At 50.4% G+C, this 19,034-nt stretch overlaps 1 protein-coding gene and 1 long non-coding RNA gene across 8 annotated transcripts in view, besides 1 other annotated feature; both read left to right on the top strand.

Annotated features, from left to right (window-relative positions):
* KCND3 (potassium voltage-gated channel subfamily D member 3) overlaps positions 1-19,034 on the top strand; it is a 219,007-nt gene that overhangs the window by 130,003 nt on the left and 69,970 nt on the right. The window lies entirely within an intron of this gene.
* KCND3-IT1 (KCND3 intronic transcript 1) lies at positions 2,761-5,904 on the top strand. Its single transcript, NR_046783.1, has 2 exons — positions 2,761-2,848; positions 5,617-5,904. It is a non-coding gene; the product is annotated as a KCND3 intronic transcript 1 (long non-coding RNA).
* Positions 3,969-4,562: an enhancer, noted in NCBI's record as "NANOG-H3K4me1 hESC enhancer chr1:112397726-112398319 (GRCh37/hg19 assembly coordinates)". NCBI's record gives its function as "activates a minimal SCP1, AML or CMV promoter by ChIP-STARR-seq in naive and primed H9 embryonic stem cells {active_cell/tissue: H9 hESC(naive and primed)}" and the evidence as "EXISTENCE:reporter gene assay evidence [ECO:0000049][PMID:30033119]".

Genomic DNA, 19,034 nt, shown 5'->3' with positions numbered 1-19,034 from the left:
GCATGCAAGATGTAGGGTAGGCACAAGGAAGTACTTCCTGGCTGTATCCTATACATCCTGCTTACTGTGGCTTCTGTAAAGTACTGTCCAGACTCAAACAATGCCTAGAGTTGAAAGAAGGCAAACATGTCCAACCAAATTCCTGCCAGTAGTGACTCCTTTTGCCTTCTGGGCCCCGGTGTCCTTCAGGGTCTCTTCAGTGGTTCTAGCTGGGTTCAGGGAGAGAGTAAAGTACCACACTTGCAGGGCTTTGTGAAGTCATCCCATCCAACCTCTCCTTTCCCGCGATGCCAGTCCCAGCCCTTCCCTGGCTCACTGAGGTCTCTTCTCTTCTCAGAGGAGGTAATGCTGAGACCAAGATGGCCCAAAGAGCTTCTCTGTGCACTCAGAGGACCTTGGGAGAAGAAGAACTTCAAAAGGGTCAGCATTGCAACTCCCAGCCAGTGGCTTCCCAGCAGGAGCCTGACACATAGCATCAGCTCATCAGGGCCTTGTAGGTCATGCTAGAGAGTTTCAATCTTCTAAAAACAGTGGGAACTGAGAAACATTTTAAATAGGAGACAGACATGATCAAATTTGCTTTTTTGAAAGGTCACTCTGGCTGCTGTGTGGAGAAAAAAACTGGACATGAGTAGGAGGGAGAAATGGAGACCAGTGAGAGAGCTATTGTGCTGCTGGTCCCAGAAGGTCCCAAATGACAAGTTGACATTTGACCAAAGATCTGAATAAAGTTAGCCAAGCGTTTATGCCAGGCAGAGGGGAGGATAAGTGCAAAGGCCCTGAGGCAGGAGTGTCCTCATTTGATCCAGGACCAGCCTGGGGGCAGGGGAGTGTCTAGAGCAGAACTGGCCAAGGGAAAAGAGTAGGCATTGAGGTTAGAGAGGCAGTGGGGAGTCAGATCATGGAAGGCCTTGTAGGAGAGTGACCAACCACTCCATTTTGCCTGGGACTGAGGGTTGTCCTGGGATGGGGGACTTTCAGTGCTAAAACTGACCTGTGGATAACAGAACTGACCCATCCATCAGGCACAGGAGAGACTGTGCTTAGGGCCCACAACACTTTTAGGGGCCCATGACAATGTTTTAACTTTTTTTTTAATCAGAAGAAAAAATCAACATGATAATAATGAATTTAGTCTGGATTATATTTGTCTTCATTCCCATGCTATTTAAAAGTCTAATTTTTAAAAAGTTTTTATGGAGAAATGGGACCATGAAAGCAAAGGATCCACAAAAATCATAATGCAGCCCCCAAAACCATGATGTCAAGTCACCCTATCTCATAGGCCTTTGGAGGGACTTTGGCTCAGGATAGGTTGAACTTACTCACCTTTTACAGAGGAGAGAACTGGACACTTTGAAGCGTCAAAGTAAGGCAGTCCCTAAGAGATGCTGGTGGGTTTGCCCAGGGAAATGGCAAGGGAGAAGGGATTTGATGGAGTTAAGAAAAACTCTAATAGTGGGGTTTACAAGACTGGATGATTGTTTCCATGTGTGCCTTTGGTGGGCACGGGTGAGAAGGAGGCCTACGTGACTCTCAGTTCACTAACTTGGGCAGCCACATGTTTGAAGGTGCCTTTCGCTGAGATGTAGAACCGGCAGCCGACAACCTCCAGTAAGTCACGTCACTCTTCTGAGTATCAGTTTCCTGTCCTAATGGGGGCACTGCAGACCATCTCACAGCATTATTGCGAGAATCAGAAAAATTTTTTAATAACCCAAGTAAATGTGCCTGGTACACAGTAGGTGTTCATAAACATGAGTTGAAGCTTTCTTAAGGTCTAGTATCATTCATTCATTCTAGATTGCAAAAAAAGTGAAATTCATATATTACTAAGGTTAAATGTACTATTAAGAAAAATTCTATTAGAAGATGGAGAGTCAAGGAGGGGGCTCTTTAGATAGGGGGATCAGAGGATGCCTCCCAGAGGCAGCACCTGTGGACCAGTGAGTTCACCTGGCGCTGGGGAGGACCTTCCACCGAGAAAGGGGGCAAGCCTAGGAGTACTCTGGGTACCCCTAACAGGAACAGAGAGGAGAAGACAGCTGGAGTCCCCTGGAGGGCTGGGCCAAGCGGTTGTCAGAGGCATAGATTTGCTGAGGAGGCAACAATCACCACACTGTTCTTCTGACTGAGGGTTGCCAACACCCCCCATAAGCGACGGGTATTTACTTCTCCCGGCTGTACTGCATATGCTGGCAAAAGAAGCCTTCGGAGCTCAGCCAGGAGAGGAGGAGGACAACACTCACTCCATCAGCCCACAGGAACACTTCGTCCTGTCCCCGCTACCTGGGTCAGCAAAACCAGCCCCGTGCCCTCTGCACAGAAGCAGAATGGTGCAGACATCTCTGTCCTCCTCAGCACGCGCTGTGACCCCACGCCCAGGGCTGCACCTTCTCTCAGGGACTGTGGAGCCCAGAGCATCTGTAACACCGCGATGATGATCCTAGAAACCATACAGGGCTGCTGTGAGGCTTACCCAAAGTAACGAATATGAAAAGTGCTTTGTAAACTGCAAGGCGTTTTACAGATGTTCACTTACTATTTGTAAATGAAATCAATGAGAAGGCGCATGACGAGTGTCCAGGAACTGGGTGGAGGCAGAGAAGGTTAGAGGAGGAGGAGTGGCCACAAAGCACCCACAGGGACTGTGACCGACACAGAAAGACAGTGTGTCAAAGGTACATGAATAAACATGAGACGTCCTCGACTCCTAACTGCTTTAATTGTGCTCCAGTTAACAAGGTAGACAGGCAGCTGCTGGTTTCTCTCAGGCAGAAGAGGCCCTCCCCCTCTTCCTGCCCTGCTTAGCTGCTTGCCCAGAGGACAGGGGACAGGATCTCACAAGGTAGGTCCCTTTCCCTGGGTCCCCCTCCCTCCTCCATCCAGTCTGGCCCCCAGCTCCTTTGCACACCTTGACACCTAGCAATGCAGTCACTTGGGGCTTGGAACCAGTGCTCATAAGTAAGCTCTGCCAGATGCTGGGACAGGCCAGTGCTAGCCAGCAGTCACCTTTGGCAGGTGGGGCTGGCAGCAGGCTTCCTGGCGCTGACCCCAAGTCGGGCAGAGGCTCAGGATCCACCATGTGCAAGGGGGGGTCTGGCCTGAGGGAGGCTGAGAGAGACAGCAGGCAGGAAGCCCGGGTTTGGAGGGGAGGCCGAGGCTACCAGGCGACCACCAGCTGCCATTCTAGATTCAGGTTGTGCTTATTGCACATCTACTAAGTGCCCTGTGCACAGCACGCAGAGAGCTTCCACTCATGTTATCCTCTGTAATGATCACAGTCGCCCTGTGTGGAATTAGCAATGCTGCTATAGGGAGAAGAGCAGGGACCAAAGAGGGCAAGCAACTTGACCAGGGCCACACACAGTGCAAGGTCTCAAGGCTTCTGAGACCAAATTGTGTGTTCTGAAACTTCTGAAAACATCTCCCCACCCCACATCCATGCCCTCACCAAACTTACTGTGGACAGTGAAAACACCCCTGCTATCCTACCTCTTCTCTCCCCTGCAAGGCAGGTGCAGAGTGCGGAGGCAGTCCCTTGGGTATTCATCAGGGAGGGTCTCCGTCCAGGTCTGCTCGCCATCCTTCTCCATCCTGGCTTCTGGCTGGGTTTGGCCAGTGGGGGTCCTGGCAAGAGCCTGGAGGGAGAAAAGAGGGTGAGGTTGGGGTACTCCCTTGGCTGCCTCCCTGCAGGTCATCTGGGACTGGCTCTGCCCCATAGTTGAAGGCCATAGCTCCTCTTGAGGGGGCCGTTTCTATGATTCTCTTCTCCTAGGCTTTGGTCCCACTCCCTCCCCTCATCCAGTTAGCCTAGATGGTGACAGTGCCACTTTACTTTCCTTTGAGTGGAGCCATCCCTCGTGGTTTCTGTAGACCCTGCCCACATCTCTGTAGGCAGCCCCTTTATAAACCTTCTCCCATACCCTGATTTGAGTGTGCCACCTGCCTGGGGTGGAGGTGTGCAGCAGGGGGTTATGGAAAAGGTCTAAGGTGAGAGATATGGTCCTCCTAGACCCATATAGAGAACAGGATGCTGACTCTGACCTATGCCCCAAGGATATGTACCCCAAAGCTTCCCAAATTTCAGCAGTTTGGCCAGAGATCCAGCAGCCTCCTTGCTATCGGAAGATCCCCTCCACAGCCTTCTCAGGCCAGGCTGGTATGTGGTCATTAGCATAAGACAAAGACTCAGCTCAAGGACCATCATGATGTAACCAAGGTGTGAAAAGTAATTACAAGCTGGTGATCAGAGTCACCCTGGGTTGCACTTGCTGGAACACGCCTCCCTGACCTTGGAAGATGAGGGGGATGAGTTAGCTTTCGGATAACGGACACTGGGAACTCATACTCAGGAGGGAGGCTGGCAGGCTTGTCCCCATGAGGGGAATATATGGGACTGGAGGCTGCCCAACTGGACATTCTGGGGCACTGCAGGATTGAGAAGCAGCCCAGGCCTTGGAGCTCCAGAACACAAAAGGGGAGCTCTGGTTGTGAGGTTTCAGTCTGGGTTTGACCTCAGCTTAACCTCCCCCATGGGCCTAAGGATCTCAGTTTCATGAAGTGGACCCCAGGGGGTGGTGAGAGCAGCTGGCCAGACCAGGATGGAGACAGGGCACAGTCAGGTGAGCCCTTAAGCGGCAGGACTGACGAAGCCACAGAGTGGCAGGTACCTTACTCTGTGACAGGATGCCGGGGATGTAGAAGGTCCCCAGGAAATGTGAGTGAGATTCTCCAGGTGCTTTGAAGTTCCCTAATGGCACTGACTAGACAGCGAGGCCTTGTTTCACCCCTTTTCAAAGAGTAGCCCGGCACCAGGAGGCCAGGAGGCTCCAGCTCAGCAGCTAACCAGTGGGGAAACACAGGCAGTGCTTTTGGTAACTCGAGGCCTTAGTCCCCTCATCTCTCAAACAGAGGAGACATCCACCCTGAGACTGATGGATGAAGCAATTTGCAAATGTGGGAGATATTTTAGTAGCAGCAACTAAGAGCAGGATGTGTGTGTGTCACAAAGAAACACTTTGTACTGCTGCCCTTTCACAGCCACTCCTCAGAGAACCAGCCTCTGCCCAGTGGCAAGGGTCAGTGTCTCACCCGACGCCTGCCTTTCCTTGCCCCTCTGACCCCTCCACTGGACAACCGACTCACCTCCCACAGGTCTTGGTTTCTGCCTTTCTGCCTCTGAGCTCCCCAAAGTCCCTATCTAGGCTAAGCCCCTCTAGCCACAGCAGAGGAGAAGAGATGGTCGTAGCCCAGGGGGTCTCCCTGATGCCTCCATCTTCTCAGAGTGCCTTGAAAATACATCCTCCAGCTTGGGTGCCAGATTTCACAAATTAAAACACAGAACAATGAAACTTTTTAGTTTAAATATGTCCCAAATATTACATTATCTGAAGTTCATATTTAACTGGACATACTATATTTTATCTGGCATCTCTACCCCCTGGTCAAGAAGGTTTCCAACTAGAGTCAGCTGCCAGGTGCCTGCTTTGGTGAGCGGCCATGCTCTGAGCAGTACAACATTCTCAGCTAGGACCCTCTGTGGGCCACAGGCCATTTTTTAGAGCAGGAGCATGAGGGGCCCCATGTTCTGACAGGCCTTCTGTACTTTTTCAGGCTCAAAAAACCTTCAAACAATAATCCACTCAGCAGATATTTAGCAAACATCTACCTTATATGAACCACTCTCCTGAGCACTGGAGCTACGCTGGTGAACAGAGAATAAACAGCCTCATCTCTCATAACTATCGTGTTTGGAGCAAGTACCAAATGCCAAGCACTGTATTATGCATTCTAGAAGCCATCTCATGCAATCCTCACAAAAACTCAAAAAGGTGGTGTTTTACAGATGATGAAACTGAGGTTAATCATTTATTCATTCAATAAACCGTTATTGAGCACCTACTAGGTGCTGGGCATTATCCTTAGTGCTGGGAAGACAGCAGTGAACAAAGCAGATGAACCTCACTGCCCGCATGGAGCTTACACTCTAGTAGGGAACAGGGGTGGGGACACAGGAATGAGGAAAGAAAGCATCATGGACCGTGTGTGAAAAGATAATGAGTGTTATGAACAACACAAAGCAAAGAATGAGGCTATGGAGTGCCGGGGTGGGCTTTGTGATTCAAATTAGGGTAATCAGGGGAGGTTGCCTGACAAGGTGACATTTGAGCAAAAATGTGAAGGAAGTGAGGGGAGGTTGGGAGAAGCAAAGGAGATTCCCCCCAGATTGTTCTGGTTCTAGAGCTGGGTTCCCAATCACTATGCATTGTAGCTCACCAGACCTCAATTGAAGGTCTGCTGCCTGCTTGCCACTTTCACATACAAGATTTCATTTAATCCTCACACCAGAACGACCCTGAAAGTTAGTTTTATTGTCACACTTTCCCAGAGAGGGGAGATAAAAATGACTCAAAAAAGATGAAATGACTTGCCTCAAGTTGTGATGCTGGAAATTCCAGCCCAGTTGTTCCATTTCCAAGTCCACCAAGCACAATGGGCTCACCCTGTCTGCACAGCCTTGCACAACCCACTGCATTTTCTAAGCCTCGATTTCTCCACCTGGAAAGTGGGGTTAGTATCATTACCTATCTCATAGCATTGCCGTGAGGATCAGTGGATAATTCATGTAAAGTGCCAGGCTCCCTGCATGCATGCTGTTACTATGACTCTAAGAATCATGCTCTACTTATCACATCACCGTGGAGGACCAGGGTTAAACAATGTGGTGCTCAGGACTTGGGGAGGGAAAGGGTGCTGTGGGAGAGCAGGGGTCGGGGAAGTGGAGGAAGCACGGGCAGAGCGGAGCTGAAGAAAACCACCACTAGGCAAGCCCACCTGCCTGAGAGCGGATGAATGAATGTTGCTTAAACCTAAGTGGTACGACTCAGTGATTGTAATTACACTGGATTGAGGTTATGACTTCAGCAATTTTATTTTTCTTTTGGAGGTGCTGGCTCATTTTTTATGCATGCACAGGAACTAATTGCATCCCAGAGAATGCTCTCCGCCTGTTGGTCTGGAGGTGCGCTGCCATATGCTTGGTGTGTGCGTAATTAACCCAGTGCAGCTGCACTCCCCTCTGTCTGGATTATGGATTCGATTTCAGTTTCACTCTCAGGCAAGAGGCCCACAATCCCTATTTATTAAAATGATTACCCCTTAAAAGAAGGTGCCGGAGACAGAGCCCAGCACCAGGCTGGAAGCTGTCTGGGCCAGGCTTATGTAGATGACGCCTGTTGCCAGCATGCACAGCTCAGGCTTAGTCCCTGCCGGCCCACAAAAAGGACTCCCCACCTGCTAGGCATGTTGCTGAGCAGGCCCCACAGAGGGCTGAGGGCTGCAGGCTGCCTTGAAGGCATTTGTAATTTCTTGTTCCTGGGCTTGCTTTGCTTTTCCAGCCCCCACTCCATCTTCTCCCTGCCAACCTTCCTCCAAGTCATGACAACCACTGACCACTCAGACTTTCCAGAAAAGTGCTTTCAGCACCTGGAATAGGGACTTAGACATAGTAGGCACCTGATTAATATTGGGCAACGCAGGTGACTAGGATGAGAAGAGGACAAAGAAAAGCTCCATCCATCCTCCAGGGGAGAAACCTGAGCCTGTGACCCACGTATTTTGTGACCTCCACAAATAGTTGATTATCCAGACAGTGGCAGCTGTAGAGATTGATGGGTCAGGTACTCCTGGGAGCTTAGAGGCAGAGACAAGAGGAGGCTATAGGGAGCCAAACCAAGTTGCTGGCTGTCGTGGTAAACATCCTTTGCACCTTACTGCCCTCAGCAAGTGGGCAGTGGCTCTGAGGAGTCTCTCCTGGAGAATCCAGGGTCCCTGTTGAGCTGTGAGCCACTCTTTGTTCCATAGCCACGGCCGCCTCATGGTGGTGATTCACCCCACACACAGGCACTGAGTGTTCGCATTGTGCCAGATTCCCTGCTAGGTGCTGCGTTGGGGAATACAAGAAGAATGAGGAACAGGCTTGGTCCCTGAGGAGCTCACGTCTAGTGAGGAAGACAGATAAGTAAACAAATGTTTGCAATACAATGGGGTAAAGACTGTAATGCAGGCATGTTTACAGAGGTTTGAACACAGAGAAGGGAGTGACTAAATTTGCCAGGAGGAGTTGTGATGAGATTGTTGAGATTTTCATTGAGTACAGATGAGTTTTGGGGCAGAAGGGAGGCAATGACATTTCATTTATTCCACAGAGGTATGTGAGCTGGGTTAAGCACTGTGCTGGCTTTTAGAAGATGAACAGTCCTTAAGGACTCAAGGAAACTGCATTCTAGAGGGGAAGACTCACACTGCGCTCATTGACTCAGCAAGCATTTATCAAGCACCTACCACATGTGTTAGATGATATGAAGGTGCTTAGACACAGTTACTGCCCTGATCTAGAGGAAAGACGGACAAACAAAATCATTATAAGTCAGTGGAATATGTCCATCACAAGAAGAGCCTTTTAAAGGTAAGAGAGAAAGAAACAATTACTTATGTGGAGTGGATAAAATAGCAGCTCAAGGAAGACTTCCTAGGAATGGTTATGTCCAAGTTGGGTTTTGAAGGATGATTAGGAGTTGTCAGATAAAAAGTAGCAGGGGTGGGGGTTATTAGGTCAGTGGGAATGATTCTAAGGACATTATAGGGACCTAAACAGCTGCACAGTACAGGAGCTCAACAATAACATGGATGAGAGATACACAAGGAGACCAACATTGAGGAGAAACCTAAGTGCCAGGGTCCTGTTACAGAGAGTAAACCCCACACGGGGTTTCTCATGTGAGAGACATGCTCAGTTCCATCTTCGCAGTTGTGGTTTGTGCCCTATGTGTCTGTGTCATGTGGGTGTTTGAACATGGGGCCAGCCTTTTTCTGCCGCCAACAATGTCACTGGTCACTCTCCCAGTCCCTGGCTGAGAATGCTCAAGGGCCACTGCTTGGGCTTCTTGTGAGTTGAAGACAAACACGAGAAAGTCCTGGTGCAGTGGTCCCCAGTGGCCAGTGGCCGGACCAGCCATGTCAGAATCCCCTGCGGGCTATCTTCACACACAGCTTCATGCCTCTGTCCTGGAGGTTCCAGTTCAGTGCGCCCAGGCTATGACCCAGGGTCTGTACATGTTAGGCTCCCAGAGTGATTGTGATGAGACCCCTTCATCAAATATCCCTATATTGTTCACAAGGAAAGGAGGGTCCACTGTGGGGACATTTCAAGGGGAAGGAGGCCTATGGGTCAGCTGTGAGGGGTCCCCAGATGGCACAGCAGCCTCCAAGGATTCCCGAGGGGGTAGAGGCTCAGGAGCTGTGTCCCCAAGCACACTGGGGTGGGGGTGCTGTCAGTCGGGTTGTTTAGTCACTGATGATGATGCTATTCTTAGCACTCAGGCAATTTGGGCTTCTCTAATCAAGGAGCAGGGAACAGGCCAACTGAGGGTGCCAGGAGATTTGAAATTCTATGCAGGGCCTGTTAGGACTAGACCAGGAAAAATGACATTTTTGGGCAGGGATTGGTTAGAGGAGAATCAGATATTCTCCAGCTCTGCAGAGAAAAGGACAGAGTTAAAGGTGGTAAGATGCAGCAGGAAGGAGCGCGGTGAGATGTCTGATGAGTTATGGGCTCTCTGGTGGGTTACCTAGGCAAGAAGGTAGGCTCTCTCCTCTGCTCTCAGAAAGTCGAGAGCTGAATCAGGCAGGGAGATCCGATGGAAGATATGGAGGGCCCACGGGGAGGAGGCTGGGTCTCAGATCCAGAATCCTGTCACAGGAGGGCTGGAGCATCATACAGGAAGTCACATCCCAGAAAGAATGCATAAAGGGATCAGAGAAGGAGCCAAGCCACAGAGGAAATCAGTGCCGGCAGGGGACAGGGCCACGGAGTTTTCAGGAGAACAGATAAGCAAAAAGACACTAGGTTGAGCCAGGCCTGGACAAGCTAAATGGCATCTTTGTGCAAATTAGAAAAGGTGCTTCCCTCCACCCCGACAGATATAGCCATGCAGATTTCAGCCCCTTCTCAGCCAGGACCTGCACAGTTGTACCAGTGGCCTTGAAGCCGAGCTGCTACCTGGACTCCTCGGCTTCCCCCATCTAGAAATGGGATTGTACCCAGAGCTTGGTCTAGGACTGCTCCTACAATACCCACAGGGGTAGAGGGACTCAGGGGCACTGGGCCAGGCCTGAAGCCACAGGTGTTCCTTTCACAGAGGTGGGATTCCTTGAGTCCTTGGGAGCAAGAGACCCACCCCAGGGGGCAGAGAGGAAGATGGGGTAGGCTGGGTAGGGACCCTGAGCCAGATCCCCTGGGCTTAGCCCCTGCTTGCTGCTTCCCGGAGGCTGAGTGCTGTTTCTGGGTGCTGTGGCACAGCTGATGGCTGGCCAGGTCACAGCCTCTGTCTTCTGCTCACCAGGAAAAGGGGAAATTAAGAGTCGAGAGTCACTGAGGAGTTTTTGGTGGTATTGTAGCAGCACCCACTTTGGGTAGTTTGCTGTGTCTAGACAGTGTTCAGGCCCAATCAATACACCACCAGTCTCTGAGGGCCACCTGCACCTGGCCAGGAATAGACAACAAGCAGAGCACAAGTGAGCTGCCCAAACCTCCCACGCCTGTGCCTCGAGGAGGAGGGAGCTACAGGGAGCGGCGGGGGAGAAGGAGAGGAATCAGAGAGGAGGAAAGGAGAGGGAGGGGCAGGAGAGAACTGGGGGAAGGATGGAGATCAGCCTGGAGACTGGAAGACAGGGGAAAAGGGAAGAGCAAGGAAGAGAGGTGCCCCCAGCCCCTGTGGATGAGGCAGCCAGCGCTCCCTGTGGACAGCACATCCCGCGTCCCTGGCATCCTTCTACTCTGGCCTGTGCCCACCTCACGTCATCTCCACGCCCTACAACGTCAGGTCTTACTATCCACATCCTACAGGCAAGAATGGAAGCTTGGAGAGGTGAAATAATTCTCCCAAGGTCTCGGAGCCAAGAGGAGGCAAAGTCAGGACTTCTGCTGGGTGGGCCAGCCCCAGGGGCCACGCACCATGCCGCCTGTAACCAAGCCTGTGTGGCTCTGTGAGTGCAGCCCTCCTGGGCTTGTGCAGTGCCTAGGGAATGGAGTCCACGGTTTCTGAGGCCTTCAGGTTTGGCTTGAGTATCTGTGAGCCTATTTGTTTGCAGCTATATAGACAGATACCTGAGAGTCACTTCAGGGTGGAGATCAGCACCTAGGGGAGGGGGACAGGAAAGGAGTTAGTCATCAGGAAAGGAGCGGTTAGTCCCAAAGCCCTGGCTGTGTGACATTTCCATTGGACTTTCTCGAATGCAGAAAATGGTCTGTAGGTGCCCACCCACAACCATACCCCTCTGGGGTCCCAGGGTCAGGAACTCAGCACTCTATAGAGCAGACTACACAGACATGAGTTCTGATCTCAGGTGCTGAGTCTCAGACAGCCTTTGTCATGCCCAAGATCCAGCTCCCTTCCCCGTGACTGCACTCCCTTAGTATCAGGGACTTCCAGGCGATCGCGTGGCTGAGGAGTGGGCCATGAGCGAGCTGCTCGAGACAAGGCATATGCTCCAGTCTGTCAGCTCCCTCAGTGCCTAGGACACACAGGTCCTCATGAAACACAGGCAATGTCTCAAGAAGGTGAGGTGGCAGCAAAGGAGCTGCTTAGCCCTGCCTTGACTGCACAGTGGCCTGAGGGGAGGCCGTGGGAGAGGCGAGGCCTAGGCAGGTGCTGTCATGGGAGCTCAGGGAGGGGCTGTGTGATTCCACCAACAGCTCTGTCAACCTGGGGCAAATGATGTGACCTTCTCCCTGTCGAACTTTTCCTCTGACTTTCCCCTTCGCTGTCCTGGGATCCTGCCTGCAGTTCCAGGACTCCCTGCCCTGCCAGAGGGAAGCTGGAGCATTCTGTTCCCGCCATCCTCCCTCTCCAGCTGCTGCAAACAATTAAGCCCAGGACAGCCATTACCTCGTGCTGAAGGGCCTGTATTGATTAAGGATAATTATATTTACTCTTTGGCAGTGTGAGGCCTGGTGGGAATATTTTTTGTTAATTTGCTGCTGCTTGCCCTCAGGAATGGGGACTGATACACCCAGCCCCACGTAGATCACGCCTGCACATATGCACGCGGGCACGCACGGCTTCACTGTTGTTGAATTACTGTAAATGCTCATCTAAGGCCCATGGCATTCTGGGCTGCCCTGCCTGACGTGTTTATTCCAGAAAATAACATGGAAATGGTTGAAGGAAGTTTATTTTCTTTTGGCCATTTTTATCTTGGATAAGAGGCATAGGCGAGCCCACGTTGCAGCAAAACACACACACACACTCACACACACTCACACGCTTTTCCTCCCTCCCTCCTCCTCAATCAATATACTTTTGTAACCTAATTTCTAGGAGGAAAGGTGATACAGAGGTGTCTCTTTGGCCTGTCTCTGTGATATGAAAACCCCAATACTATGGGAAGGAAGATGGCCCTGCTGCCCCTCCTTCGCCTGCTGGAGAGCATCTTCCCGCCTCTCGGTTTCTCTGGCCAGTTTGCCCTGCCTCCCTGACAGCACTCCTCGTCATGGGGTTTTATTTTGGTCAGGCATGAGCATGCCTTCCCCTCTTTGTAGGTTATAAGTGCCTGTAGATATTTGCCAAGACTGGGCCAGGCACTGGGCTTGAGCTGAGAATATGGAAGCAAAAGGTGCCGTCTCTGCCCTCGGGTGGCTCACAGTCCAGTGAGGGAGACCCAGTAGGAGAACACAGGTACTACCGTGCTGTGAGTTAGAGGCCTGCGTTCAAACCTGAATCCAGAACTGCCCAGGGCTGCTTCATTACCTAGGGCAATAGCTTCTCTAAGACTCAGTTTCCCCCCATTGTCAAATGAAGATGACAACCCCTGCTTCACAAAACTGTTGTGACAAACAGTACATGAGGTCATGTCTGTGAGGTGCTGACAATGCCTGGCACATAGCAAGTGCTCTGTAAAAGGTCATTGTGAATGCTCAGTAGATGCTGACTATGTCCCAGGCAGATGTCCTGTAGACTGTCCCGTATAATCCTCGTGAGAACCTTATGAGGAAGGGGAAGCATGAAGAGGCCAAGTGACTTAACCTGGGTACATAGGAAGCTGAGATTCAGCCCCAAGCTGTCTAGCTCCATTGTCCATAGGCTCAACTACTGTGCTGTTCTGTCCTGCACCCCACCCCCAGGTAACATTGGCTGCCATTCTTTTATCAGCAGCAGCAGCAGCAGCAGCAGCAGCAGCAGCAGAGAGTGTCATGGGTGTACAGAGGAAAGGTATCTTACATAACCCGGGGAAAGTAACATCAGGGAAGAGCTCCCGAAAGAGGATAAATGGGCTTTTTCTGGCAGAGGGAACTGTGTGTTCAGTGGCCCAGAAGTGAAAGAACACGGAGTGTTTGGAGAACAGCAAATATTTCAGTATAAGTGGATGATAGTTAGGGTGGCCATATATCCTAGTTTGTGTGGGACTGTCCTGGTTTACACTTATTGACCAAGCTTAATTATAAATAGTCCCTCATTCACTCACAGACAATCCCAGTTAGGATGATAAATTATATGGTCACCACAATGCTAGTGTGCTGGTAGGTAACAGGGAAAGGCAAGGAGCAGGGCCAGAGAAGTAGAAAAACAGAGCTTTGCAAACCCACTGAGGCCTCTGATTGTATCTGGAAGGATATGGGGACTCACTGGGAATGGATTCTAGAGAGACTAGGCTGAAGCCAACCAGACCTTTAGGATATGGTGGTGCAGGGGGACAGCAATGTTGAAGGCATTATTCAGGAAGGAGAATCCACAGAATTGTTACCAAGAGGCAGTGGGGTTAGTGGGTAAGAAAGAGCATGAAGTCTAGCACCAGGCTCACTAGGTTCAAATCCCAGGCTGGCCACTTACTAGTTCTGTGCCCTTGAGTAAGTTATTTAATCTCTCTGTGTCTCACTCTGTTTGTCTATGAATAAGATATAATAATAGAAGCACCTCACAGGGCTGTTGTGAGTATTCCATAGAGTTAATATAAGACAATTGGAACCACACGTGGCTCACAGCAACAAGTCAGGGATGACTCCTTGGTCTCTGACTTAAATAACTGGAAGGGAATCTTGAGAACAGGAGGAGACCCTGGGGTATTGGGGGCGGGAGGGTGATGGGGAGAGACAGTAAAGCTCCATTTGGGATATGCTGCATTTGAGGTGTCAGAAGTGAGTGGAGCTACTGGATAGGTAGCTGGACATGCCAAGTCTGGCATCCAAGGAAGATCCAGGTTAAGATTCCAATCTTGACATCATCTGCATGTAGCTGGGAGTGGATGGAGTAGGAGAAGAGAGCACTGTGGGGAGCCTTTAAATTGCAGGTGGAGGAGCCTATGAGAAATGTGAGGTGTGCTCAGAAAGGCAGGAGAAAAACCAGGAGAGAATTGTTTCCCAGAAGCCAGGAGAATTGAATTGCAACAGGAGGGGCAGTTTTCAAGTGTTAGATGCTGCAAAGAGGCTGCCAAAAACTTTGCTCTTCAGACTGAAGAGCGCCCACTGGATTTAGCATCAGAGGCCATCAGTGACCTTGGTGAACACATTTCACTGTAGATGGCAGGGCTTACAGTGTGAATGGAAAGTAAGGAAGCCGAGAGAATGCACGTGGACTGCACTGAAGAACCTGGGCTATGAAGGAAAGGGGAACAATAACAGCAGTATGCAGGGTCAAGAGAGGTGTGTTTGTCTTGAAGGAGCACAAGCGTTGAGCTTGGGAGAGAATAGTAGAGATGGAGAGGTTGAAGAAGATGTCTGATGAAGGCACAATTGCTGGAACAAAGTCCTTGAGGAGGCAGAAGGGACCAAGATGCTGGGTGTACCAGCAGGATTAGCTCTGACAGGAGGAACGCTGCCTTCTCCAGTGACATGGAGGGAGAGAGAGAAGGATGAGAGGGGACACAGGTAACTGTGTGCTGTGTGTATGCCAAACATGGAGAGGTGGGTGGCCACCATTTTCTGTGGAACATCAGAGGCAAGATCTTCTGTCTCAAGTGAAGGGATGGGAGTGAGGAGGCTTGAGGAAAGGGATGAACATTTGTAAAAGCTGTGTGGAGAATGAAGAAAGTGTTTCCAGAGGATAGTCAGGGACCTGGGCAGACAGCTGTTGTTAGAGTGGTCCCCGTGGATCCTGGGGCCAGCTGGGATGATGGCAGGGCTCAGAGTAGGATGACAGCAGATGCCAAGGTTCTCAGCGACCAGAAAGCTGAAAAATGACAGAGACCAAAAAGAGGATAGACGTGTGTACCTTCTTTGTATATCCATCAAAGAAGCTGGATCCTTTAAAAAATGGAAATAGGAATAATAAAAGGAATAATTCTGAAGTGGCATTGCTTATCAAAGAGGGGGCCTCCCCACCTCCTGGAAAAGTGAGCTTCTGTCCTGGAGAGGTCTGCAGGGACATGATGAACTTGAAGGCAGAGCTGGTGTCCAATTTGCTTTCATCTCATGTTCTTCCCCCACTGGCATTCCACGTGTCACAGGTCGTTTTAAAATGTTGAGTGGTTGAGTGAGTGAGAGAGTGCCTTGCTCCCATCCTGAGAGACACATCCACCTGAACCTGCGTTTCCTGCTGTGCACCTCACCTCTTCCTCTCTCCAAGAGGTGTTCATTGAGCCCCTGCTCTGCTGCGTACAGGCCACTTCTCTTCTGGGGCCATATGGGGAATTGGAAGGTGGAGAAAGGGGAAGAAGCCATGTTTACTGTCACTCTCAGCGTGAGCCAAAGTCCCAGAGAACATAAAACCTGCCTACCCACCAAGCTCCATTCCCAGACCCCATTTTATGCCAACATAAAATGATTGCTACATCATCTGCCAGCACTTGGGTTTTCAGTATCTCTAAATAACATTGCAAAATGTCGCCAAAGGAGCAGCAGTAACACCGTGTAAGGGGAAACACAAGGTTCAAATTTGAGGAGCCTATGTTTTTGCAACCCTAGTTCTATTCTCTCAATGGGCTTATTTTGTCCTTATCACTATCTTCTTTCCAGCCTGGCACCAATGCCTGCATCAGAGAACCCTGAAATGCAGGGCAGAAGGGGCTTCACTGGCTCCTGAAGTCAAAACAAAGCAAGATGTCCACCCAGGCAAGAGTGGACACCCCACTCACCCATTCCCAGAGGCCACCTGGACACTCTCCAAAGAAGCAGAAACAGTCAGGCTTTGTTTTTAGCTCTCCTTGTGGGCCCCTGAGGCCTGCCCCACTTTCTAGAAACAGGGAGCTTGGGGCCCATGCCATCTGGAGGGACTGGGCAGCCTTTGCCTTCTCTTGCCACTCATGGGGAAAAGCCAAGGGAATGCAGCCCTCTCCATGTGCACAGCTTCCAGGAAATCCACGTGGTAGGGCCTCTGGTGGGACTGGAGTCTATCAGAACCACAGTGGTCAGTCTGTGCACAGGGCTGTGTCCCTTGCAGGAGCTCCAAGAGCCTTGCTATGGAAACCCCAAACTCCGGAGACTGTTCTGATTCTCTCATCCACTCCACAGAACCCAGCTAGCATTTTTCTGAGCTCAACTTGAGCTCAGGTCTAGGAAAAAATCTATAACTCAGAGGGAGAAAGACAATGAAAGCAATGCAGAAGCTCCCAGTTGAGCTCAATCCAGACAATGTAATAACAAGCATCATTTATTCATTCATTCAGCAAAGGGTGGAACTCATGCCTGTAAAGATGCTAACCATGCCAAAAATAAACATAGCATAATCTTTGCCCTCAAGATGCCGTTTATACTCTTGTTCTCTGTCTCATAACTGATCACAAAGACTGCCGTGATCCAAGGACCCAAAGCAGAAGAGGTGGGGAGAGCTGGGATTTCTCCTTTCTGAAAAGAATCCCTGGGTTTGTGGTACCCACCTCCCCAACTTTTTCTCTTCTCTGACAGTGCCTCTTGGTTCATTCTATCTGCCACATATTCTCAGATCATATACACAACTGAGTTGGAAAGGCACCTGCCATACAGAGACAGTCCTACAGATGGAGGTGGGGGCCACTCACGCTGGCAGAGCCACAGCATTAATTAGCTACTCCGTGGAGCTCCCGTTGGTCACTGTCCAGAGTGAAAGCTCCTTGGCATCATTTTCCACCCCTGCTCACTAGTCATCCCAGCCTCAGCTGAGATGGTTTTTCCAGCCCTCCCAGCCCCCACTGCATCTTTCCCAGCCTGGACTTCTCTCAGTGGCATTTCCTCTCCAGTCAGAGCCTCACTGGACCTCTCCAGGGAGAGTGGCACTGCTTTCTCACTCTAGGACCCTGACATTTTGGGAGGTCCCACCTTCCCTCATGACTGCTCCCCACAGGGATGCTAAAATGGAATGACTGAATTAAAGGGCAGGCAGGCATCTGGGCAGCATGGCCCGCTCAGGGTGGGTTGGGGGGCCTGGACAGCTGGGGCCTATGTGGAGCCCAGCACTGACCCACCCTCACCATCAGCCCTTCTGCCTGGAGTTCTGTGAGTCCCTGTCCCCTGCGAATGCCGTGTTTATCAAGAGCAGTCCTGAATCCAAAACACCTGGGCCCCTTTCTGGTTGACACTGGGGACCCACAGTGATGCCCATATTGCCTCCCAGGTGCCCTGCTTCCCAGCTGCCTTCCCTCTCTCCAGGACATGTTTTTATGCTACAAAGTCCCAATGGGCCCTGGCCTAGAGGCAGGGTCTGAGAAGCAGAAATGGTTGGAAATGACATATCTCAGTGAAGAGCCATCCCCTGACCCCCCCAGGCCTGTACTCCCAGGGCCGCTTGGGCATAGCCTTCTGCCAACCTGACCATCCTTCTAAATTCTTTCTTCTCTCCTAAACAGCCTCAAACAAGCAGACACTGAAATGAGACATTAAAGTGAATGTAAGCAGAGGAAACGGAAATGCCTAGAAAAGGCCAAACACACTAAAGGAAGACAGGCCTGGCAGAGCAGGAGCCAGGGAACTGATATGGCCTGTGCCCTTATGTGGTGGCCTCATTTTCTGCAACAGGCAATTTAGCTGCTTACAGTTGTCTCATTTACTCTTCACATCAACCCCAAAAGATAAGTAGTATTATCCTTGTTACATAAATGAAGACACCTCAGAGAATTTAAGACACCTCAGAGAATTTAACTTGCTCTGAGTTGCATAGCGATTAAATTGAGCATGCTGATTCTAGAGAAAGAAGAAATTTTCCAGAAGAGTTGCCCAGCAAGCCTCAGGAACTAGTGGGTGAAGAGTCAGGAACAATTCGTTTTCTGATATTTACCTACTGAGAAAGAGAGAGTGGTCAAACAAGTTAACATAAGCTCATGGGTCCTCCTCTCTGTTGGATGGAACGCAGGCCTGAAATGTACAGCGAGGGAAGTTCTAACTGCGCAGAGAAAGAGAAACACTACGTGCCTGAAAGGTGCATGCTTGTCTGAATCTGTGAGCCAGAGGAAGCCGCCCATGTGAGAGGATTGGAAGAAGGGTATGCCACACACTGCCTCCCAGATGACGATGTCCCAACAGCACAGGACAGAAAGGAATTGTGATAGGGCCTCTGACTAATTAGATGACTGCAAGTATTCTGCTAAAAGCAGAAGAGCTGATAAATTTTTTACTTGACCCACTAATAATTTTATCCCTTAAAAGGTGGAACAGACAAATAGGGGAACTGAGTCTAGACTTCATTGTGATCCACAGAAAAGAATGAATCATTGATATGAAGACTGCTGGTCTCCAAAGGATGAGGACTTGACTGTTTTCTTCACTGTGGTGTCCCCTCTGCCTAGAACAGTGCCTGGCCATTGTAGTTGCTGCATTATTTGTGCAGTGACCAAAAAGAGCAGGGATGGGAAGCTAGAGGAGCAGCCACGTCATCCGAGCATGACTGATAGCCTGGGGAGGGGACACCGGGCATCTTCAGACATAAGCCTGAGGCTTTATAAAGGGAGAGTCTACAGAGCACAATGGAGCAGGAAGTTCAGTTCCACAGCCAGAAGAGCCAAAGGGGAATACAGCTTAGGTGGGACAGGGAGATTATAAAAGTGAAATGTCTATATTACAGTCACAA

The sequence above is a fragment of the Homo sapiens genome, chromosome 1 (genome assembly GCF_000001405.40).
Source record: "Homo sapiens chromosome 1, GRCh38.p14 Primary Assembly".
Classification (NCBI taxonomy): Eukaryota; Metazoa; Chordata; class Mammalia; order Primates; family Hominidae; genus Homo; species Homo sapiens.
Note: the sequence above shows the minus strand (reverse complement) of the source record. Positions and strands in the feature narration are given on the sequence as shown.